Here is a 25,215-nt window from a genome sequence, read left to right as displayed (position 1 = left end):
CCAATTTTTTATTATTACAAATAGCAAAAGCCAAGATTTGAATGTAAAGGTTTAAAACCTTTTTCTTTCTGATGTGTAATTTTATCATAGTAAATTCTACACTAGTAGCAGTACTAATACTTGTGAGCTGGTTAAAAACATAAGCTGATGTCTACCTCACACCATATACAAATAATTATTTTTGTTTCAGAGGACACAAACCAACACAAATAAATTTTAAATAATGAAAGGTAAAAAACAAAAATCTAAAACTATTAGAAGAATATATGTGACATAAGAACCAGGAAAGTTTTCTTCTATAGTACAAGACACAAAAAACTCACACCAGAAAGGATAAATGTTTGACAAATTTTACTGTATTAAAGTTGAAAAATTTATTTTAACAAAAGGCCCTATGAACAACATTTATATATAAATGTGTATATCTAGCTATGTATAAACATACACACACTATATAAACATACACACACATATAATTGTAATGTACAAGTCAAATAAAAGGTCAATAACCCTAATCCTATCTGATCAAAGGATATGAATAGGCAGTTGAAAGGAAGAGAGACCCAATTGGCCAATAAAAACATGAAAAAATTTTCATACTCACTAGTAATCAGGCAAATACATATTCAAATAACAGGATGCCAATTTGGCCTGTTCAAATTGTCTTAAGGTAAATATGACAGTATCAAGCAATTAGGGGGATTTAGAGATATAGAAGCTTTCGTACATTGCTGGAGAGTATGTAAATTAGTATGGACACTTTGCCAGTCACTTGTAAAGTTGAAAATTTTGTTTATTAGAGCAATTCCACTTATAGAGGTGGCTTTCAATCTTATTGGTCCATAGAATAATTTAAAATAAAACTTTCAGTACAGGTTATGTACATGCAAGAATATTGATGCGTGGATACACAGGAAAAAAACACACTTTTTCAAAATAATCATGTACTACTTCTGAAGTACTTTGTGATGTGATATATTCTATATTTTATCCAATCCTATTGTACTGTATTCTATTTCATTTTTTAAAAAAAGGAAAGAAGGCTAATTGCAGTCCATGAAATTATTTTGTTATGGGTCACTACTCTACAGTTTGTAAAAATTCTAAAAATCTCCACCTTTACCATAAGAGAGCAGCTTAATTGCCATATTATTTGTAATCATGACAACTGCGAGTGATGTTGATCAGCAGGATAGTGTTCAATTAAATTGTAATAGAGTCATATAATAGAATATAGGTCTTGAATGTTTGAGATCATTTATAAGGCTTTTTTGGTAGTACTGATTAGAATAAGCTTATAAAAGAAATAATGGCTTTGCATCTATACTGGTAAAAATTAATTTCAAGTAAGGTGGGGAAAGCAGGAGTGGAAATGATGATGATTATAATATTAATGTAATCTTGTAGAATGACAGATGGCTTTTATTTATGTATGTATTTATTTATTTTGAGACAGGGTCTCACTTTGTCACCCAGGCTGGAGTGCAGTGGCGTGATCTCAGCTCACTGGCAGCCTCGATCTCCGGGGTTCAAGCAATCCTCCTGCCTCAGCCCCACAAGTAGCTGGGACTACAGGCATGTGCCACCATGCCTGACTAATTTTTTTGCATTTTTTGTAGAGATGGGGTTTCACCACATTGCCCAGGCTGGTCTCAAACTCCTGAGCTCAAGTGATCCACCTGCCTTGGCCTCATAAAGTGCTAGGATTACAGGTGTGAGCCATCAGGCCTGACCGACAGATGGCTTTTAATTACACAATTGACTGGGTTTAACATATATACTCTTCATACAGAAGAACATCAATTTATGTAGGTGCCTCGTCATCTCAGGAGGTGGAGTGTAACTCCTCACTCTTTAAGTGTTGGCTGCACGTAGTGACTTCCTACCAAAAACTATAGTATGAAATGGGGGAACATTTACATGGAGAAACTTTACAGTGAACTTTACAGAGGACAAACTGAACAAACCGCCTCAGCCAAGTGGTCAAGTTTTATATTAACAGTTTAGTAAGTCATGTTGACAGTACCCTTAATGTGATGTGAAGAAAATGGTACTTTATGTATGTATGTTTCCTCTCCTGAACCCATAACCCCAGACTTACCATGAGAAAAACATCAGATAAATCCCAATAGCAAGACATTATACAAAATCTCTGACCAGTACTCCTCAAAACTCACAAGGTCATCAAAACAAGCAAAGTCTGAGAAATTATCACAGCCAAGAGAAGCCTAAGGAGATATGGTGACTAGCTGCCCTGTGGTATCCTGGTAGAGTTTCTGGAACAGAAAAAGGATGTGAGATACAGATAAAAGATTTTGAACTCAAGTGGGCAGGAATCATCTAAAGAACTAATAACCTCTAGTCTACTTGCCATGAGAAAATTTGAAAATTAGTTCTCATATGGGATTTTGTAAAGTCACATAGAGTTTACAATTAAAAATGACATAAATCTTGATGAAAAAATATATACCCCAGAATAATAAGCAAATGAACTAGTGCTAATTATATGGCTTAATAGTTTATCTGATAATCTTGTGTGCAGGCTCCAAGTACTATCTTACAGTTTTTCTTTCCTCTTCTTCTTTTTTTTTTTTTAAGTGGGTCTTGCTATGTTCCCAGGCTAGCCTTGAATTCCTAGGCTCAAGCAATCCTCTCGCCTCACCCTCCTAAGTAGCTGGGACTACCAGCTCTGTCTTACAGTTTTGGCTGGTTTTACTTCACATCGTAGGTTTGTGTATTTTTAGTAAATGTTGAAGTGGTTAAGAACACAATCTCTAGGTGACATTACCGAAAATGGCAGAGTACGGTGGTTTATTATAAGGGTTAGTTCCTCCACTGAAACAAGCATAAGGGGGCAGAGTGACAGGATCAACTGTTTTGGGATTCTAAAATCTGGTCTGACATTTACAGCAACCAGGAGACTGCATAATGAAGAAGAGGGCAGCTGAATTTCAGAGTGCTGTGGCATTTAATCCACTGGATTACCATCCTCATTCACCATTGTGGCAATGGCAGCAGCTGTGGGGACTATGGCCCACATTTCTGGTGTGACTTGCTTGTATTTAGTATGGACTTTGTTCTTAAAATACTGTGGTTGTGCATTTTGATCTGTCTAGTGGTTTCCTGAGTGACCAATGTAGAGGCTGAATTTTGTCCCATCTTTATCCCCCGCAAAAATTACATGTAATGCATTCCCAGAAAGATCCTGAGAGGTGCCTACGCTTCTACCTTTGGAAGATCTGTGAGCACTAGACAAGCAGAAGGTGAAGGCTAAGGCAGAAGTGTAGGTGGCCAAGCTTAGTGTGAGAGTACTTCAGCTGAGAGCCAGACTACAAAAACTTGGGAGAGTACTATTTGTTTTTGTTTTAGGCATTTAAGGAAATCTAAATCTGCCATTGGCTGATCAGTAAGATAACAAAACAGAGACTTTAATGACCATAAACAAAAGGAATAAAGTCTTTGCAAAAATAGTTTGGAAAAGTTACTAAACAAAAGGCTGAACCCTTCAAAAATCAAAAGAAAATGCCAGAATTCTGGAATCTGATTTCTAGAATTACTGCATTATAATATTCGAAATATAAATTTCAACAGAAAGTTACAAAAAAGCATATAAAGACTCAGGAAAGGATGGCATATTCACAGAAAAAAATAAACAAATTGGTGGAAGCCACCCTTGAGGAAGTCCTGACATTGGACTTAGTAGACAAAGACGTTAATCATCTGTCTTAAATATGTCAAAATGCTATGGGAAACCATAGACAAAGAACTAAAGGAAGTCAGGAAAGTGATGTATGAACGAGATAAGAGCATCAAAAGAGATATAAATTATTAGAATGAACCAAATAGAAATACTGGAGCTTAGCAGTACAATAATTGAAACAAACTGTTCACAAGAGGGATTCAGCAGCAAATTTGAACAGGTGGAAGAAAGAGTCAATGAACCTGAAAATGGGGCAATTGCAATTATAGAAGCAGAAAGAAAAAGAAATGAAGAAAAGTGAACAAAACCATAGGGACCTATGGGACACCATCTTTAATTCATAAGCTTTTTAATATGGTTTATGCCAATGTGAACATTAAATCACTGATAGTCTGTAAGTTTAGCAAATCATGTTTGACAAGAACAAAGGTTACCTGAAATCAGAGCTATCCATAAAACTTGCGGTGGTTTATAATTACAACAGTGTATCTTTTGAGTATAGATTCAGACTCCAATTTTTTTTTTTTTACTTTTTATTTAAAAATAATGTTTAGATCTGTGGAAAAGTTGCAAAAACAGTACAGAGTTCCAGTACACCCTTTACTCAACTTCACCTAATGTAAACATCTTATGTAAACATCATATAATTATCAAAACCAGTACATTAGTATTTGTATAATACTATTAACTACAGATCTTAGTTGAAGTTAACTAGTTTTTCCACTATTTTCTCATCCGGTTTCCCTTGTTGTGTTTAGGTAAGTCTCTTTAACCTCCTCCATTCTTTTACAGAGTACTTGTCCATTATTTTGTAGGCTGTCTCAATTTGGGTCTATCTGATATATTACCATTATTAGATTGAGATTATACATTTTTAACAAGAATACCACATGTTCTTTTGCCAAGACTACCATGTTTTGCCTTTCTCGGTGCATCTGGTCAGGGTTACATGATGTTAGTATGTCTTACTATTGGTTGTGTTAACCATGACCACTTGGTTAAATGGTGTCTGACTATTTTCTCCATTGTTAGTATTTTTCCCTTTGTAAGGAATAAATATTTGGAGACGTTTCTTTAAGACTGCAAATATCCTGTTTCCCTGAAACTTTGATCCATTGATTTTAGCATTTATCAATGGATCTTGGTGGCAATAATTACTGTGATGTTTGCCTAGTTGTAATTTTATATCTCCCTCATTCCTGCTACCTGAATTAATTGAAATTATTCTGTAAAAAAGAGATATGGGATTCTAAACTCATTAATATCTCATTGTATTCTGGTAGAGATAAGGATAATAAGTCATTACTTGTTAAAGCAATTCTCTCTAACATAATGTTAGAGAAAATTATCAATTATATTCTCACTTGATTTTCCTTTCTGGAATTTTAGATACTCTTTTATAGCCTAGTTATATATCTCATTAAATAAGTTATTTAAAAATAAAAATTGCCTGAAACTTCTTGTTCATTTCTTACCTTTTCTTTATCTGAAATTTGAGACAATAGAGCCTGTACTTCCTAATTGAAAGATTAATTAGCTAATGATGGTTCCTAAGATACCTAGGGGGAATTTTAGAAGCTTTCAAGGACTTTTTATTAGCTCTCTTCCTGCCATATTCCCCAAAATAAGTAAAATTTCTCTTTGACTTGATGCTACATTAACTGTACTTTTTAGTGAACTGGGGGAAAATAAATAAAGTTCAAATATATACTCATTCCACCAATGAATCATAAAGTGACTGCACTATGCCGTTAGGTGGTGAGCATGAGTGAACAGAAACACAGTCATTGCCTTCATTCTAGCTTATATTCTAGTCTGAGGATACATATTAGAAACATGCATTTGGCCGGGTGTGGTGGCTTACACCTGTAATCCCAGCACTTTGGGAGCCCAAGGTGGGATGCCATAATGAGGTGAGAGAGGTATGCAGGGCCACGGAGGTAGTGGAAGAACACAGGATATTACTCTTGGAACAATGGAAAGCTACTCACAGACTTTAAGAAGGGAAAAGATGTAATCTAATTTACATTGAAAGGGAAGAAAATGGAAATTTTATGGGGAATGGGTTAAAGAGTTTTAACCTTTAATCTGAGTTTTGGGGTCAGTACCTGTGTATAAAATTCCTGAAGAACAATTAGAATGAAGTATAGTGAACAAGTGAAATGTTCTACAATTTGTAGAGTAAAATATGTAATTACTTTAGATGAAGGGAGAAACTTACATTGTGTAGTTTTCTGCAGTTTGGTAGGGAAACCATTTGGAAGTTGTTGAAGAGGTCCAGGTGAAAAATAATGGACTTAGGTGATGGCAGTGAATGTGGAGAAGTGAAAACACGAGTTCCTTTGAAAACAAAACTCAACTGGACACTGAGTTTTATATATATAATGACATAAACATTATATATATTAGATATATTAAATATATATATTTATTATATATAAAAATATATATTTATAATATATATCTAATATATATAATGTTTATGTCATTCATGTTTAGTAGTGAACACTGTGAGTCTGTAATCAAGAAATTTTATTAATTTGATTAGGGGAGTTGTTTTCAGATCCTCTTAAAAGCTTTTTTGAGGGGGAGGGGATTGAATTGCATGACAGTTTAAAAATGGTCTCATTGTCTCATAGCCATGATTTTTATAGGAACTAAGTAATTGTATAGGACATTCATTTTTCTGTTCAGCTAGTTGCTATGTATGTTTTTAAAAATATTGTGCTTACCTAAACCACTTTTAAAAATAATGCATTAGCATTAATTTAACCGATTTAATTAATTAATAATATTGGGAATTTAATAGGATCAGAGAAAATATGAATAATATAAGCTTCTATTGGATAATGCAATGGTTAAAAGTAAATGTGTCTATGATGGTAGTTAAGTCTTTATAATTGTTTACTCATTCATCTCGCCTAATTAGATTTTTACTGCTGCATATTAAATAACAGTATGAGCTGAGACCTCACTTCATGTCTCTGGCCTTCAGCTTGTTCTTTTGTGAACTCAAAGTTTGACTCAATTGCCTTTGCTTTATAATATGCCATTTCTTCATATAGGCAATAAACATTTACTAAGGAGCTATTAATGGGTCAGTCACAAGTGGAAGAATGTTGTGAATATAGAAGTGAATGGGAGTGTGTCTAAAAGATCATATAATTTGGTATGTAAAACTGAAAAAGTAAGTAATTACAGCAGTGAACTAGGAGCTACCATGGAAGTGTTTCTAAGGCAGACAATGAGAAGATGAGAAATGATCAGTTTTTTTTTTTTTTTGAGTTGGAGTCTCGCTTTGTCGCCCAGGCTGGAGTGCAGTGGCATGATCTTGGTTCACTGTAAACTCCGCCTCCCAGATTCAAGTGATTTTCCTGCCTCAGCCTCCTGAGTAGCTGGGATTACAGGTGCCCGCCACCATGCCCAGCTAATTTTTGTATTTTTAGTAGAGATGGGGTTTCACCACATTGGTCAGGCTGGTCTCGAACTCTTGACTTCGTGATCTGCCCTCCTTGGCCTCCCAAAGTGCTGAGATTACAGGCGTAAGCCACCGCACCCGGCCGAGAAATGATCAGTTTTAATAGTGAAATTATGGAAGGCTTTTTAGCTTTTGCCACCTATTTGTTGCTCTTCCTTGTGTTCCAATTGGAAAGGATGAAGGGAGAGAATTAATTAGGTGGTTGAATTGGCAGAATTTAGTGACCATATGACTATTCTTATTTCATAATGTTTAATTTATCTTTGTGAAGCAAAACTGAAGTGTTATCATTTACTGAGTGCCAAGTGTTGGGCTAGGTACTTGACATACGTTTATTCTAATCCTCACAACCATTTTTATAGTTCATCAGTATTATCTGCATTTTACAGGTAAGAAATACAAAGTTTGGGTAATTTTAGTAATGTACCTAATGCCAGAATCCGCTAAGGACATGATCTCCAAGTGCATCCAAAATAGACACCAAGGCTGGGTGCAATGGCTTACACATGTAATCCCAGCACTTTTTGGGAGGCTGAGGTGAGAGGATTGCTTCAGCCCAGGAGTTCAAGACCAGCCTGGGTGACACAGTGAGACCCAGTCTCTAGAAAAAGTAAAATAAAATTAGCCAGGTGTAGTGGCACACCTTGTGGTCCCGGCTACTAGGGAGGCTGAGGTGGGAGGATTGTCTGAGGCTCGGAAATTGTGCTGTTGCACTCCAGCCTGGGTGGCAGAGTGAGGCTACTGTCTCAAAAATAAATAAACAGAATAGACACCAAGTTGCGTTTTAAAATTTTGTAGACCGTAACCTAATAAATGGCTGAATAGAGTTATTGTCAAAATGCTTGTTATTTACAGAGTTTATTTGCATGATTTGGATCACCAATAAGAAGTCCCAATCTTAATTACCAATTTGGCAGGAAAATATATCTTTGTCTCTTCTATTGCTTTCTTCAGCATAATGTAAAGTCAACTATTTACAGGTTGATTTTAAAAATATGAGTTGGGTTGCTTCACAATCTAGTTATTTTTAGTATTGCTAATATTTTGTGTTCGTATGGTGTCATTGGGGAGTCTACTTATTTCCCATAATACTTCTGTAATGGAGTAGGGCTGACAGTGTCTTTTTTTATGGATAAGGAAACAGTAACAGTGGCTTTACTAGAATCCACTCTTATTATGTAACAGAACTAGATTTTTGTGTTGGCTATTATAACTTTAAGATGGTCAAAGTTCTGAAATAAAATGTTTTGTTACTTCAGTAAACCTTGGAAAATTTATATTATCTTTTAACACATAAACTTTGATACTTAACTTAGCAAAGCAGTGCAGTGGCAAATGGGACAAGAAAGAACATGAGCCCAGGGAGTTATTTGTAAATGCAAATATACATTTGCATTTACATTTACAATTTACAAATATACATTTGCATTTACAAATGCACATTTGCATTTACAAATACATCTTAATGTACTTATAAGTTAAGTACATTATTAGAGTACTAAGTTAAGTACATATGTGTAAGTACATATTAGAGTACTAAGATTTATTTCCATGATAAAGAGGAGGTGTTTAAATCAAAGTGAACATCTGTAAATCTAAATATGCCATATGTACTTTAGCTCTGGATAGAATTTAAGATCTAACTGAAAGGAATTAAGTACTTGAAAAATGACTTATTTTGAATAACTAATGTGATACTTGCCCTTAGACTGGATCCTGGACTGCAGGACAGGAAAAAGGGATAATAGGTAAATATTATGGACAATTTTAGTCAATAAATTTGACAGTTAGGATGAAATGGACAAATGGATAAATTCCTTAAAAACTACGAAAGCTTACTTAAGAAGTAATAGATAACCTGAATATCTATATGTGTTTATCTGTATCTATATATGTGAAGACATTGGATATATGGTTGAAAACCTTGTCACAAAGAAAACCCCAAGCCAGTGGTTTCATTGGTGAATTTTGTTATTCGATAAAGGAAGAAATAATACAAATTTTACACAAACTCTTCCAAAAAGTACAAGAAGGAACAGCATTTCCCAACTCATTGTCTGATACCAAAACCACAGAAAGATATAAGAAAAGAAAATTATAGTCTTATATCTTTCATAAACTTTGCTGCAAAAAATGGTAAAATTTTAACTAAGACCAACAATATGTAGAAAGGATAATACTTAATGACTAAGTGGGGTTTATTCTGGGAATGTAAGATGCGTTTAACATTTGAAATTTAATCAATATTAATTCACCACATTAACAGGCCAAAATATTAATTCACCACATTAACAGGCCAGAAAAATCAGATGATCATAATTATCTCAGTAGATACAACAAAAAGTATTTGACAAAATCCAACATCCATTCATGATTTAAAGCTGTCAGCATATTAGGAGTAAAAGGAAACTTCCTCAGCCTACTAGAGGGAATCTACAAAAACCTGGAAAACTGACAGCATTCATCCTAATATTGGAAACAAGGCAAGGATTTCTGCTGTAATCACTTCTATTCCACATCATACTGGAGGTTCTAGATAATATAAAAAGCATAAGATGTAAATAAAATACATAAAGATTGACAAGAAGTACAATTGTCTTTATTCATAGATAACCTAATTATCTCCAGAAAGTTAAAAAGCATATACACAAAAGCCACCGTAACAGTTGATCAGTGTTGCAGGGTACAGGGTCAATATATAAAGATCAATGTTGATTTAAGAATTAACAAGGAGAAATTGAAATAAAAAATAACATTACAATAGTACCAAAAATATGAAATTTGTAAAGATGGTATTTAAAAATGATGTACAAGACCTATTAATTTGAAACTACAGAACATTGCTGAGGGAAATTAAAGAAGACCTAAATAAATGGAGAGTTATACTGTATTCCTGGACAGAGAGACTAAATATTGTTATCAGTTCTTCCCCAGTTGGTCTGTGGATTTAACTCCATTCCAAACAGAATGTCATCATGCTTTTTTATAGATACTGACTTCGCTTCTGCAGCTTCCTTACCTCTCTCAGCCTTCATAGATTGAAAAGAGTTAGGGTCTTAAACTCTGGATTAGGCTTTGGCTTGAGGAAATGTTGTGGCTGGTTTGATCTTCTATCCAGACCACTCAAATTTTCTTCATATCAGCAATAAGACTGTTTAACTTTATTATCATTCATGTATTCACTGGAGTAACACTTTTAATTTTCTTCAAGAACTTTTCCTTTGCATTTACAAACTGGATAACTGTTTAAAACAAGAGGCCTAGCTTTCAGCCTGTCTTGGCTTTCAAAATGCCTTCTTCACTAAGCTTAATCATCTCTAACTTTTGAGTTAAAATGAGAGACACATGAGTCTTTCTTTCACTTGAACACTTAGGATGCCATTGTAGGGTTATTAATTGTCCTAATTTCAATTTAGTTGTGTTTTGGAATAGCAAGGCCCAAGGAGAGGGAGAGAGATGGGGGATGGCCAGTTGGTGGAACCGTCAGAACACACACATTTATTAAGTTTGCTGTCTTATATGGAATTGTCTCAAAACAATTACAATCATAACATCAAAGATCACTGATCGTAGATCAACATAACTGACAATAGTAATGAAAAAGTTTGAAATAATTGCAAGAATTACAAAATATGACACAGACATGAAGTGAGCACATATTGTTGGAAAAATAGCACCAATATACTTGCTCAATGCTGGGTTGCTTCAAACTGTCACCTTGCAAAAATAAATCTGCGAAGAGCAATCAAGTAAAGCACAATAAGATGTGGTATGCCTGCATCTAGAATATATTAAGAACCATTATGGTTCTGTGACAAGAACACAATCTAATTAAAAAATTAAATCCGTACAAATGGTAGATCAGTAAGCCTATGGAAAGATACTCAATAATATTAGTCATTAGGGAAATTATATTAAAATCACAACAAGCTACCAGTACACACCCACTTCAGATGAAGTTTGAAAGATTGACAATGCCAGGTGTTGCTGAGAATTAGAGCCACTGAAACTCTCATATATTGCTGGTGGGAATGTAAAGTTGTACAACAATTTTGGAAAACAACTAGTTTGTCAGTTTCTGAAAAAGTTAAACATGGCTGGGCACAGTGGCTTACACCTGTAATCCCAGCACTTTGGGAGGCCAAGGCAGGAGAATCACTTGAACCCAGGAGTTCGAGACCAGCCTGGGCAACATACTGAGATCCCCCCATCTCTACGAAAAATTTAAAACTTAGCTGGCATGCTGGCTCTCACCTGTGGTCCCAGCTGCTCAGGAGGCTGAGGTGGGAGGATCACTTGAGCCCAGGAGGTCAAGGCTGCAGTAAGCCGTGATCGTACGACTGCACTGCAGCCTGGGCAACAGAGCAAGACTTTGTCTCAAGGGAAAAAAAAAAGTTAAACATATATTTACAATTTGACCTAGCCATTTTATTCCCAAGTGTTTACTGAAGAGAAATGAAAGCAGTGACTCACGCCTGTCATCTCAGCACTTTGGGAGTCCAAGGCAGGAGGATTGCTTGAGCCCAGGAGTTTCAAAAAAAAAATAATAAAAAAATAAGAAGAAGAAATGAAAGCACACGCCCATACATAAGCTGTTACGTGATTCTTCATAGCAGCTTTATTTGAAATAGCCAAAAACTTTTAGAAACAACACAAGTGTCTGTTAACATGAGAGTGAATAAACAAATTATGCTATATCTGTGCAATGGAATAATGCTCAATAATAAAAAGGAACAAACATATATGATTCTAAAAGTATTTATGCTCAGTGGAAGAATTCAGATGGAAGAGAGTACATGATGCAGAAATAGATTTTTATAAAATTCAAAAATGCAAACAAATCTATAGTGGTAGAAAATACATTAGTGGGCTGGGCATGGTACACCTATAATTCCAGCACTTGGGAGGCCAAGGTGGGCAGATCACTTGAAGCCAGGAGTTCCAAGACCAGCCTGGCCAACATGGCAAAACCCTCTCTCTACTAAAAATACAAAAATAGCTGAGCATGGTGGTACACGTCTGTAGTCCCAGCTACTCAGGTGGCTAAGGCATGAGAATTGCTTGAACCTGGGAGGCGGAGGTTGCGGTGAGCTGAGATCATGCCACTGCACTCCAGCCTGGGTAACAAAAAGTGAGACCGTCTCAAAAAAAAAAAAAAAAAAAATTAGTGGTTGTCTAGGAAATGGGGTAATGTTGGATTACAAAGACTCATAAGAAAACTTTTAGGTTGATGGGTTTGTTCATTATGACTGTGATTATTACACTTTATGTACAGTTTTTTGGTCAATTATGCCTCAGTAAAGCTATAAAAATGCTATAAAGAACATTATTGGATCACTTCACAAAATTGGAATATGGATGGTAGATTAAATATTACATTGATGTTGAATTTACTGAATTGATACCTATACTGTAGGTGTATAAGAGAGTATCATTATTCCTAGGAAGTAAACACTGAAGTATTTAGGAATAAAGAGTCATGGTGTATATAACTTATCCTCAAATGGTTCAGAAACAATGTTATGTGATCAGATATATACAGAGAAAAAGGACAAAGCACAGAGGCAAGGCTGGGATGGAGCAAAGCAGAGAAAGAGTGGGAAAAAAGAACAAATAGGGGAAATGTTAACATTTAGGTGAATATGCTAAGGGGTATACAGGTGTCTGTACCATTCTCGTAACTTTGTTTGAAATTATTTTCAAATAAAAGATATTAAAAATGTGTAATAAAGAAAGCATGGTTACTTACAATGATTCCATAGTTGGGACATAAAATATAATAACCAGAAAGAAAAGTTGGTAAATTGAACTTAATCAGAATTTTTTTTTTTTTGAGACAGAGTTTCACTTTTGTTGTCCAGGCTAGAGTGCAATGGCGCAATCTTGGCTCACCACAACCTCTGCCTCCGGGGTTCAAGCAATTCTCCTGCCTCAGCGTCCCAAGTGGTTGGGTGCGCCACCACGCCTAGCTAATTTTGTATTTTTGGTAGAGATAGGGTTTCTCCATTTTTGGTCAGGCTGGTCTCAAACTCCTGACCTCAGGTGATCCACCAGCCTTGGCCTCCCAAAGTGCTGGGATTGCAAGCGTGAGCCACCGCACCTGGCTGAACTTAATCAGAATTTAAAAGTACTGTTTTTTTATATACACCGTTAAAAAAATGAGAAGGGATAAAAAGATGAGACTAAAAAATGTCCATTAAACATGTGAAAAGTTGCTCATGATCATTGATCATCAGGAAAATGTAAATTTCATAATATATTATCTACAATAAGTTATCACTACACTTCTATTGTGTGTGTGTGTATATATATATATATGTAGAGAGAGAGAGAGAGAGTGTGTTATGGAGACATATAACTTTGTTTTTTTTTTGTTTTTTTTTTTTGAGACGGAGTTTCACTCTGTTGCTCAGGCTGGAGTGCAGTGGTGCGATCTTGGCTCACTGCAGCCTCTGCCTCGCAGGTTCAAGCGATTCTCCTGCCTCAGCCTCCCGAGTAGCTGAGACCACAGGTGTGCACCACCACACCTGGCTAATTTTTGTATTTTTAGTAGAGATGGGGTTTCACCAGGTTGGCTAGGCTGGTTTTGAACTCCTGACCTCAAGAGATCCACCCACCTCGGCCTCCCAAAATGCTGGGATTACAGGCATGAGCCACCATGCCTGGCCAACTTTGAATACACACACACACACACACACACACACACACACACACACACACACACACACACATATATATCTCTATATATCTCTATCTATATATATGTGTGTGTATATATATATAGAGAGAGATTTTATATATATACATAGAGAGAGAGAGAGAGAGAGAGCGCTCCTGCTCTCTGTCAATAGACAAGGCATACGGGAGAGAACGAGGTGTCAGTCTGTGTTCTTAAGGAGCTTACATTCTAGTGGAAGAGATACACTAAATAAATATTTATTTTATTTTTTATTTTACTTTAGGTTCTGGGATACATGTGCAGAATGCACAGGTTTGTTACGTAGGTATACATGTGCCATGGTGGTTTACTGCACCTATCAACCTGTCATCTAGGTTTTAAAACCTGCATGCATTAGGTATTTGCCCTAATGCTCTCCCTTCTTTTGTCCTCCACCCCTGCTACAGGCCCTGGTGTTTGTTGTTCCCTTCTCTGTGTCCATGTGTTCTCATTGTTTAACTCTCACGAGTGAGAACATGTGGTATTTGTTTTTGTGTTCCTGTGTTAGTTTGCTGAGAATGATGGCTTCTGGTTTCATCTATGTCCCTGCAAAGGACATGATCTCATTCTTTTTTATGGCTGCATAATATTCCATGGTGTATATATGCCACATTTTCTTTATCCAGTCTATCATTAATGGGCATTTGGGTTGGTTCAAGTCTTTGCTGTTGTAAATAGTGCTGCAATAAACATATGTCTGCATGTGTCTTTATATAGAATGATTTATAATCCTTTGGGTATATACCCAGTAATGGGATTGCTGGGTCAAATGGTATTTCTTGTTCTAGATCCTTGAGAAATTGCCACACTGTCTTCCACAATAGTTGAACTAATTTACACTCCCACCAACAGTGTAAAAACATTCCTATTTCTCCACAGCCTCGCCACTAAATAAATATTAACAATAGCTACAGAATGTATGTTTGTTTGGATCAAGGAAGATGGAGGAGGGGCCTACTTCAGAGTGATCAGAAGAACCTTTAGTTGGTGACGTTTGAGAAGGGGCATGAAAGATGAGAAGAAGCCTGCTGCAGGGTAGAGCCAACCAGAGCGCAATACCAGTTTGCCTGCAACCAATATGTTTCTCTGGCTGCTAGACTTTCAGTGCTAAAAGCAAGAAGGTCCTGCGCAAACTCAGAGTAGCCCAGCTCCTCCACTTGTGCTCTCCATTCCATCCCCTCTTGCTATCCTGAGAATTTAACTCCAGCTTTCTGCTGCATCATTCATATCCTTCTATATTCTAAATTATTCCTCAGCACACAAATCTTCTAGTCTCTAATAGCTTAGGAAAACCCTTTACTGACCCTACATCAATTTTTATTTTTCTTCTTTTCTTCAAAGTTAGTATTCTCCCAAAGAGTTGTGCTCATTCCACTCTCACTCCCTCACCTCCCATTTACTTTTCAAACAACCACTTTAATGGGACTCAGCTCACACGACTGTTTAAACTTCTCAATAAAGTTAACAAGAACTCCAAGCTCCTAGATTACTCATTACTGTCCTTACTCCAGCCTTTAAGCAGATCTGACAGTTAACCACACCCTTCACGCTTGAATCACTGTTCTTTTAATTTCAAGGGCCCCTCATCTGGTTTTCCTTCTACTTCACTGGCTAATTTTTTTCTGTCTCTAGTAGTGGCTCTCTCTAGGTCATTCTTGTAGTTAAGATATCCTCTCTTGAGTTTCACAGCAACTGTCTGCCTTATTATGGCATCTCGAGCTTAAATTTAATGTATCAAAAAGAAAATGCTCAATACTTTCTCCCTCAGCTTTACGTCCCCCCATATCCTGTAAGGAAATCTTTTCCTTCTCTAAGTTAAAGACCATTCACATGCTCAAACCAGAAATCTGGAAGTCATTTTTTACCTCTTTACCCATATCCTTTTATTGAAGCCCCAGGTCTTAGTTTATTTTGTGTTGCTATAACAGAATACCTGAAACTGGGTAATGTATAAAGAAAAGAGGTTTATTTAGTTCACAGTTCTACAGGCTAGGCAGTTAAAGGACACGGACCTGGCTTCTGGTGAGGGCTTCTGTGCTTTGTTATAACATGGCAGAGAAGAACAAAGGGGATGTGAGCATGTGTGAAGAGGGACCGAACAGGAGGAGGAACCTCACTTTACAACAACCCATTCCTGAGAAGGGGAGTTAATCCATTCCCAGAGAGCTAATTCCTCTGCTCCAGAGTGAGAACTCAGTGCTGTGAGAATAGCACCAAGCCATTCATGTGGGATCCAACCGTGTGACCTAAACACCTCTCACTAGGCTCCACCTCCCATCACAGCCACAATGGGGTCAAATTTCAACATGCCTTTTCGTGGGGAAAAGCACAAACCATAGCAACCTTCCTTATCTCCCTCCAAAGTATAACTCGATTATCAACTTCCTTCTGTTAACTTCCACTGCACTAATTTATACTAATCAACAATAATCTCTTTCTTGGCCTATTTTACATACTAACTAGCTTTCTAATAGTCTCCTTGATTCATTTCTTTACCCACTACAATCTGCTCTCTACATTCAGCCAGTGTAATTAACATATGTATTAACATATACATAATAATGATTATGTGTGATAATAATCAACATAATGTATGTATTACTGTGTGATATGGTTTGGCTCTGCGTCCCCACCCAAATCCCATCTCGAATTGTAATCCCCATGTGTTGAGGGAGGGACCTGGTGGGAGGCGATTGAATCATGGGGTGGATTTCCCCCTTGCTGTTCTCCTGATAGTGAGTGGGTTCTCGTGAGATCTGGGTGTTTGAAAGTCTGTGGCATTTCCCACTTTGCTCACTCTCTCTTTTGCTCTGCCATGGTAAGGCGTGCTTGCTTCTCCTTTGTCTTCTACCATGATTTAAGTTTTCTGAGGCCTCGCAGTCATGCTTCCTGTTAAGCCTGTGGAACTGTGAAACCACTTTTCTTCATAAATTGCCCAGTTTCAGATGGTTCTTCGTAGCAATGTGAAAATGGACTAATACATTATGTTATATATTATAGTATGAAATATGTGTAAAAATATGTCTGCAGCAGAGACAGTGATATTTACCAAATATTTCCTCAGTTTTCCATATTTTCCAGCTTCTTGTAATTAAGTGGATCTACATGACTGCCTTTGGTCAATACCCAATGTTTATTTTAAAACAAAACTGATTGTGTACCCATGTTCATAATATCACTCACAGTCACCAAAAGGTGCAGGCAACTCAAATGTCTATGAATAAGTGACTGGATAACCAAAACATGGTATATACATGCAATGTTCTGATTTCAGTCTTAAAAAGGAAGGAAATTCTGATATGCTACAACATGGATGAAACTTGAGGACATTATGCTAAGTAAAATAAGCTAATCAAAAAAGAATAAATACTGTATAATTTCACTTGTATGAAGTAGCAAGAATAGTTATACCCATGGAAATAGAAAGTAGAACAGTGGTTCCCCAGGGTTAGGACAGGGGCGAATGGAGAGTTGTTTAATGCGTATATATAGAATTGCAGTTTTGTAAGATGAAAAGTTCTGGAGATTGGTTGTACAACACTGTGAATATATTTAACACTACAGAACTCTGTGCTTTAAAATGTCTAAAATGGTAAATGTTATGTGAATTTTTTAACAATTTTTTTAATGTTTTATGTTCTAGAAACAGTATTATGTCTCAGTCCTGTGCAAAGTGAGATGAGCTGTAGCCTTTGGAGACCTATAATTTTGAACATAGATGTTCCTTAAAAGCTAAATCTTTTTGAACAGATGATGATAAACCTGGAAGGTAAATTTAGATATAGATACTTTTGCATTTCTTCTTCGTATTCTCTGAGGGTATTTTAAGTAGTTGACCCAACAAAATGCTCTTGAAACAAAATTGAAAACAAAAAATACCATGTGCCACAAAGGTAACTAATCTAGGTTTCTTCGGGGACCAGAACACCATGCAAATATGAGCTTTGAAAATAACGTAATAAAGGTTATCTCCAACAGGAAAATACAACTGGGTCAGGTTTATTATTAGGTGTACCGTAGTCCTTTTTTCGTTGGGACCTCTGTGTTGTTTCTAGAGTAGAAAAGGTCTAATGTCTAAAATCTACTATAATAATCAAAACAAAAGAGCAAGTCATGAAGAACTGTAAGTAGGAAATCAGTATACACCCTTACTGGCTAGCAGGCAAGCAAATAAAAATGGATATAAATTTAAAGTACTGTAATATGACTGATGCACTAAAAAGATTACTGTCAATTTTCAGAACTTTCAGATTTGGGTAAACAGTTATTTACATGTTTCTAATGGAATCTTAAATTGGTTTGGTAATTTGAAGAATTTTTCACAATATTTGAATCTTTAATTCTACATTGAGAATTATATTTAAGAAAATAACACAAATATATTCAGAATTATTTTACATTCATATTGATAATTTAGCATTTAATGTTCATTAGGTTGTTTAGTAAAAAAACATAAAATTTACTTTTTAAAAAAATTAAGGACAGTGATTATTATTCTAAACTGCCTCAGAAAATGGAAAGTTGATTTGTAGTAGCACAGAAGAGGGGAGGGAATATGCTATATGACACATAAAGATTCTCTTTGTCAGTTAGCTATGAGATGCAAAATAGCATCTACTTACTAAGGAACTTTTGTACTTTGTAGAATATCTTTGATATTTAGTTGACCCTTGGTTCTCAGAAAATAAGTGGCTTGTAATTTGACCTTTTGCTCTATCATGTTTTCTTTTTTATAATCTGCTTGACTTTGATGAGTGTTTTTCCAATGTTTCATTTGTTTTTGCAAGGTTATTTTGCCATCCTTTCCTTCCATGATGTGATTCTTCAGGCCAAGAAGAAAAAGATGTGTCTGTAGCTAAAATTACCTCATCCTTGGTGTTTTTCAGCCTAGGATCACTATATGTAGCTAATGCCGTTACATTACAACTAAGACAAGTTCCAATACTTTTTTTTTTCTCCTCGATCTGCAGAGATTCACCAACAATAGCAAATTACACACTGGCTTGGAAAGTACTCCCATGTTCCGTTTGATCTTGGCAATTTAATGGTATCTTCTTTTACAGTTTTATTTAAATGTTTCATATTGCTTCGTTTTTCTTCCTTAAGTATTTGTAAGTTCATCAGCTCTGTGATGAACTTACAGAGAACTCGATATTCTTTATAGTACCCCAGCACCCAGTTATGCATGTGATGTGTGCACAAAACATTTTTATTGAGTGGATAAAACATAACCTTTTTGATTGATTCAGGGAACTAAAATAAAATGTTTCTTTAATAAGTACAAATTTTCTGAAGCACAGATGAAATTTAACTTCATATGATTCTGCCAAATGTGATAGAATACATGTTTCCTGCTCAATATGGTAATAGTCAAGAGAGCCAGAATACCAAAGTAAGAAGAAAAAAAAAATCACAAATATTTGAATAATTTAAATCAATTCAGCAACATCTAAATAATTATAACTGATTTAAATAATTAAAAATCCGTTATTGGCAATGATTGTCATATGTACAACCAAGAGTTGCACGACTTATATTTTCTTTTTGTAGGATTTGACTTGGCTGAACGCTAACTCTTTTTAGGACTGATTTAATTATTTATTTGTTCTTTGGTCCTGTGCTAATTTTTATGAGCTTATTATGCAGTTAAATTCATTATAGTTTATTTGTCCCAATTACTTATTATACTTGAACTTTTTCTTTTTGCTTAGATGTACTTTATTACATATTTGATTTCAGTATTATGTCACATTATTAAATAGTGCTTATTGTTACCACCACAAATGAAAGTAAAGTTGTGAGTTATATAATAATTAAAAATATATGTTTCATCTACTTGTGATCATCAAAATATGTGAAAATACATATGAATGCATTAAGATTTACCCCAATTTAATTTTGTTCTCTCTTTCAGCTGTTCTTGAAGACTAATTAGTTACACTGGATATGCTGCTGTTCTTTACTTTGGGATTGCTTATACATTTTGTGTTCTTCGCCTCCATCTTTGACATTTATTTTACATCTCCTTTGGTTCATGGAATGACTCCTCAGTTTACACCATTGCCTCCTCCAGCGAGAAGATTAGTGTTGTTTGTTGCTGATGGCCTTCGAGCAGATGCACTTTACGAATTAGATGAAAATGGAAACTCTAGAGCACCGTTTATTAGGTAAGCATGTAAACTGATACAGAGACATCTCTTAAAATGTTATTCTGAGTTAAGTAAACTGCAAAATATCTTACTATTTATCATGCACTGGGCACAGGGGTGATGATGAGAAAGAGAATAGGGCACTTGTACATTTGCCTTTGTCTTATGGGTCAGCACTAGATGCTACTTTATTTCCTCCTAGGTGTTATTTCTGGTATTGTTGAAGCTGATAACCGGTGAATTGAAATGGATAGGCTTAGCTGCTTAAGCTAAATTGTCCTAATTTCCCAAACTTGGCTCAAGACTCACTATATTATTTTTTTCTTAAAAAATAAGTCTGCTGGCTGGGCACAGTGGCTCACGCCTGTAATCCCAGCACTTTGGGAGGCTGAGGCACAGGGATCACCTGAGGTCAGGAGTTTGAGACCAGCCTGACCAACATGGAGAAACCCCGTTTCTACTAAAAATACAAAAAATTAGCTGGGGGTGGTGGCACATGCCTGTAATCCTAGCTACCTGGGAGGCTGAGGCAGGAGAACCTGCGAGGCAGAGGTTGCAGTGAGCCGAGATGGTGCCATTGCACTCCAGCTTGGGCAACAAGAGCAAAACTCCGTCTCAAAAAAAAAAACAAAAAAAAAGTCTGCTAATTTTACAAAATAAAGACAAGCATAAATATTAATGAATTACTAATTTCAATGATGTTTAAGTACAAAATATAGACTTCAAATTAAAACACAACCTTCTGTAAAAGAATATAGAGCCCTTTCACTTCTATATCACTGTTTAACATAACTTTGGCTTCTGTTAAGTTGCTTTAAAAAGAAATATTTAATTTCTTGGACTTACAAAGGGCCTACAAACAATTGCTCTTTTTCTGATTAGTGGCAACTCCTGAAAGGCCTTGTAATGCTGTTATGGAGAGATTAAAATAGAATTCAAGAGGAAATTTATCTAAAATGTTGTGTCTTCCCCCATCTCCATCTGTCATCATTACCTCCTATCATTTTACTCTGTTTTCTTTTTCTTTTTCTTTTTTTTGAGACGGAGTCTCGCTCTGTCACCCAGGCTGGAGTGCAGTGGCGTGATCTCAGCTCACTGCCAGCTCAGCCTCCCAGGTTCACGCCATTCTCCTGCCTCAGCCTCCCGAGTAGCTGGGACTACAGGCGCCCGCCACCACACCCGGCTAATTTTTTGTATTTTTGGTAGAGACGGGATTTCACCGTGTTAGCCAGGATGGTCTTGATCTCCTGACCTCATGATCCACCTGCCTTAGCCTCCCAAGTGCTGGGATTACAGGCGTGAGCCACCGTGCCTGGCCTGTTTTATTTTTCTTTATAGTACTTCCATCATGAAAGTTCCATGAGACTGGGGACTTATCCACCACTTTATCTCCAGTTCCTATAACATAATGGGCAATTAACAAATATTTGTTGACAGCTAGAAGAATGGATGAACTCTAATGCTGTGTTGAATTTTCAGAACTAAATTTACGATAGCTCAGAGAGATGCATAACATATTGAAGGATAAAAATAAAGAAAAGAGAGACTCAAGTCAATAGACGAACATTGTGGGAAAATAAGATCAAACCAAGGTTAAGTACAGTACACAAAAATCTGTAACAAATTTCTAGAAATAATTAAAGTATTTGGGTGAATTTCTTAGTTGCCAAAGGAAAGAGAGAAATATACTTCATTTCAAAATTAAGAGGATAAAAATATACTGGTAAAATAAAGTCAAGCTTTTCTGGTGGCACTTGTTTCTCCTTTGGATCTTACTAACGGAAGCTCTGTGGGCTCAAACAGTTGATGTTTTGTGTTGTGTGCCATTGTATATTTACAATGTCAGGAATCTTCTAGCTTCTTCTAAGCCTGTTTTTGAAAGGTTTTTTGTTGTTGTTATTTGTTTTGAGAGGGAGTCTCACTCTGTCGCCCAGGCTGGAGTGCAATGGTGCAATCTTGGCTCACTGCAACATCTGCCTCCCAGGTTCAAGCGATTCTCCTGCCTCAGCCTCCTGAGTAGCTGGGATTACAGGCACGTGCCACCACGCCCGGCTAATTTTTGTACCTTTGGTAGAGACGGGGTTTCACCATGTTGACCAGGCTGGTTTCGAACTCCTGACCTCCACCTGCCTCAGCTTCCCAAAGTGCTGGGATTACAGGCGTGAGCCACCGCATCTGGCCCAAAATTTGTTTTATAAAAACGTGATCTAAACTAATGTTTTTAAATACAGTATCTAAACTAATGCTTTTAAATAGAGTATCCACATTTCTTTATACCTCCCCTTTCTGTTTAAGTCCAGTTTTCATTATATAACTCAAGAAGTTAAAGAATATTTCTCGTTAATATTTGGTCCAGTGGTTTTGAAACTGTTTACTTATTATGAATGTATTTCACCAAAACTGCTTTTATTATTAGGTAAGTCAATAGTAAAAGAACTGACACCAGTAGTTATAAATATTTTTCTTTAGAATGTATTGAGAGGCAGATATTTATCTTGAAAAATGTTATTGTTGAGTTTACTATTTTATAACTTATTGCTCTGCTGGCCTTTCACCTATAATAGCACCACTTGTAGTTTTGCTTTCTTCCCCAAATTTTGCAAATCACTGTGGATACAACTTAAATAATGTTGACATCTTTTAGCAAAATAATCTTTTTGCCTGTTTTAATCTCAAATTTGGGGATATAATTTAACTCCTAATTAGGAGTGTAGCCATTTTCCCTCCCCTTAGTTTTTTAAGAATTTTTCAACTAAACAAATTTGAAAGGATTATTTGATGAACATCTGTATACCCTTTACCTAGTATGACAATTTTAACCTTTTTTCATAATTGCGTTCACCCTCTCCTGGCCCCTCTGCCACCTGCACCACAGGGGTACCCATGTATGTCCATCTAGTTATAATTATTTTTTCCTTAACAATTCGAAAGCAAGAAACTTTACCCCAAACACTTCAGCCTATATCTCTTAAATAACCACAATACTATTATCACACCTAATGCAATTTAACATTGATATAATAATATATGTTTTATCTCTGGATAACAAACCATCTCTGTTTTGTGGCTTAAAACAACAATCATGTATTTTGTTTCATGATTCTGTGCAGTGGTTGAATGGTTCTTTGTTTGGTCTTACATCAGCAAATTCATGCTGCTGCATTCAGCTGGTAGATGCTAGGAATGGGCTCACCTGGAATTTGAAAAATTCCTTTCCTTCTTAAGTTTTGACTTAAGTTTTTTGCTTTTGATTCCTTCTGTAATAATCTTATGTTTCTAAAGCTTTATGTGAGAGTATCTAATCATAGTCTGTGTTAACTATTTGTCTTTAATATCTTTTAGGAATATCATAATGCATGAAGGCAGCTGGGGCATATCTCATACACGTGTGCCAACAGAATCTCGGCCAGGTCATGTAGCTCTGATAGCTGGGTTTTATGAAGATGTCAGTGCAGTTGCCAAAGGTATTGTCTATTTGGACAATCTTATGAAATGAAAAATTTGTCAAGTAAATATTAGTCCTTTACCACTTAATCATGTCACAAAGTGAAGGTATGTTTTGAGATATTTTGGACAAATGTTTTAGCATGCTTTGCTGACATGAATACCCACTGGTACTGACTCCAGAATTGAAACTTTAGTATTTCATTATCCTGTGTTATTGAAAGAATTTGGGTTGGATGGAAGCATAATTTTCCTAGATATTACTCTTGAAAGTTCAAAAATAATTTTATATTTCATTAAGAAGTAAATTATCTATTGTTAGTTTTTTTTTAAATAGTGGTATAATATGCATAATATAAAATCTATTAGTTTTGCATTTATTCACTGACTAATGTAATTGTTATTATTTGAAGAATAGTTCTTTAGGGGCTTATTGTACCATGTGTATATAACTATTACTGCTTGCTTGCTTTCTGAAGGATGGAAGGAAAATCCTGTAGAGTTTGATTCTCTTTTTAATGAAAGTAAATACACATGGAGCTGGGGAAGCCCAGATATCCTGCCTATGTTTGCCAAAGGTAAGAGTCACTGATTATGTTTCCTCAGATAGTAAATAGGGAGTAAGTCAATATGGTAGTTTTCTATTTTTATGTATGTAATGTATGTGTTGATTTTTACACATATTTTTACATTTTTAACATTTCTGAAATAGGGATGTTTAATTACAGTATTTTTTTTTCCTTCTTAGTTATACTTGAGATATTGGCACATCATACAGTTAGATAGTATTTTGGATTCAATTAAGTGGTATATAGCACTATCGCTTAACAGCTATATAATCTTGAGCAATTTATATAACCTCTCTGAGCTTCAATTTCCTTTTCATAAAATGTGATAATATTAGTTTCTGTCTCATAGATTTATTTTTATAATTAAATTATGTAATTCATGTGAAATATTTAGCATAGCACTTTTCACATAACTTGATTATAAATGATGATGTTGAGGTGTGGTTCATTATACTTTGGTAAATTATTTTAAAAGTTAGTAGCTACTCATATAAAGATTTAAACATTGGCTGGGCACAGTGGCTCACACCTGTAATCTCAGCATTTTGGGAGGCTGAGGCAGGTGGATCACTTGAGCTCAGGAGTTGGAGACCAGTCTGGGCAACAAGGTGAGACCCACATCTCTACAACAAACAAAAAATTAGCTGAGTGTGGTGGCATGTGCCTGTAGTCCCAACTACTCAGGTGGCTGAGGTGGGAAGAGTGCTTGAGAGCCTGGGATGTTGAGGCTGCAGTGAGCCATGATTATGCCACTGCACTCCAGCCTGGGCAACAGAGCAACACCCTATCTCAAAAAAAATATTTAAGTGTTAAAATATATAGTTATAATTCCTGTTTTAATACATCGAAGATGCCATATATTCTGGCATTTGATATATATGGCATTTAACATATAATTTATTTAAATTGATATTTAATATACTGAATGTAGCATTTAGATTTATTGTTTATATGCATGATTCTGCAAATATTGGGACATCTCTTAATTAGAAAATTCATTTATATTATTTTCTAAAATCAGTTGGATGAATTTCATGTCATTAAATGCTTTTAAGTGGGAGCAGAAAGATTGATCATTTCACTTATCAGAAAGGATTTGTAACATACTTAGTCATGAGTGTAATTAAAATAATGGGAACTATTGAAGATTATTATGT

General features: G+C 35.7%; 1 protein-coding gene across 47 annotated transcripts in view; it reads left to right on the top strand.

The window, feature by feature from the left end:
• Positions 1 to 25,215, top strand: part of PIGN (phosphatidylinositol glycan anchor biosynthesis class N) — a 169,442-nt gene that overhangs the window by 5,861 nt on the left and 138,366 nt on the right. For 15 of the 47 annotated variants that reach the window (XM_047437431.1, XM_047437440.1, XM_011525891.2 and 12 more), the window contains exons 2-6: positions 17,540 to 17,665; positions 18,867 to 18,943; positions 19,811 to 20,063; positions 23,388 to 23,509; positions 23,969 to 24,067. In XM_047437431.1, coding sequence (XP_047293387.1) covers positions 19,843 to 20,063; positions 23,388 to 23,509; positions 23,969 to 24,067 — 442 coding nt within the window. In that variant the 5' untranslated portion in view covers positions 17,540 to 17,665; positions 18,867 to 18,943; positions 19,811 to 19,842. Of the gene's footprint in view, positions 1 to 17,539; positions 17,666 to 18,683; positions 18,944 to 19,810; positions 20,064 to 23,387; positions 23,510 to 23,968; positions 24,068 to 25,215 lie in introns of all 47 variants that reach the window. The other 32 variants (XM_047437439.1, XM_011525894.2, XM_047437456.1 and 29 more) reach the window with 4 other exon arrangements.

Source organism: Homo sapiens, chromosome 18 (assembly GCF_000001405.40).
Source record: "Homo sapiens chromosome 18, GRCh38.p14 Primary Assembly".
Taxonomy (NCBI): Eukaryota; Metazoa; Chordata; class Mammalia; order Primates; family Hominidae; genus Homo; species Homo sapiens.
This window is presented reverse-complemented; position numbering and strand designations above follow the sequence as displayed.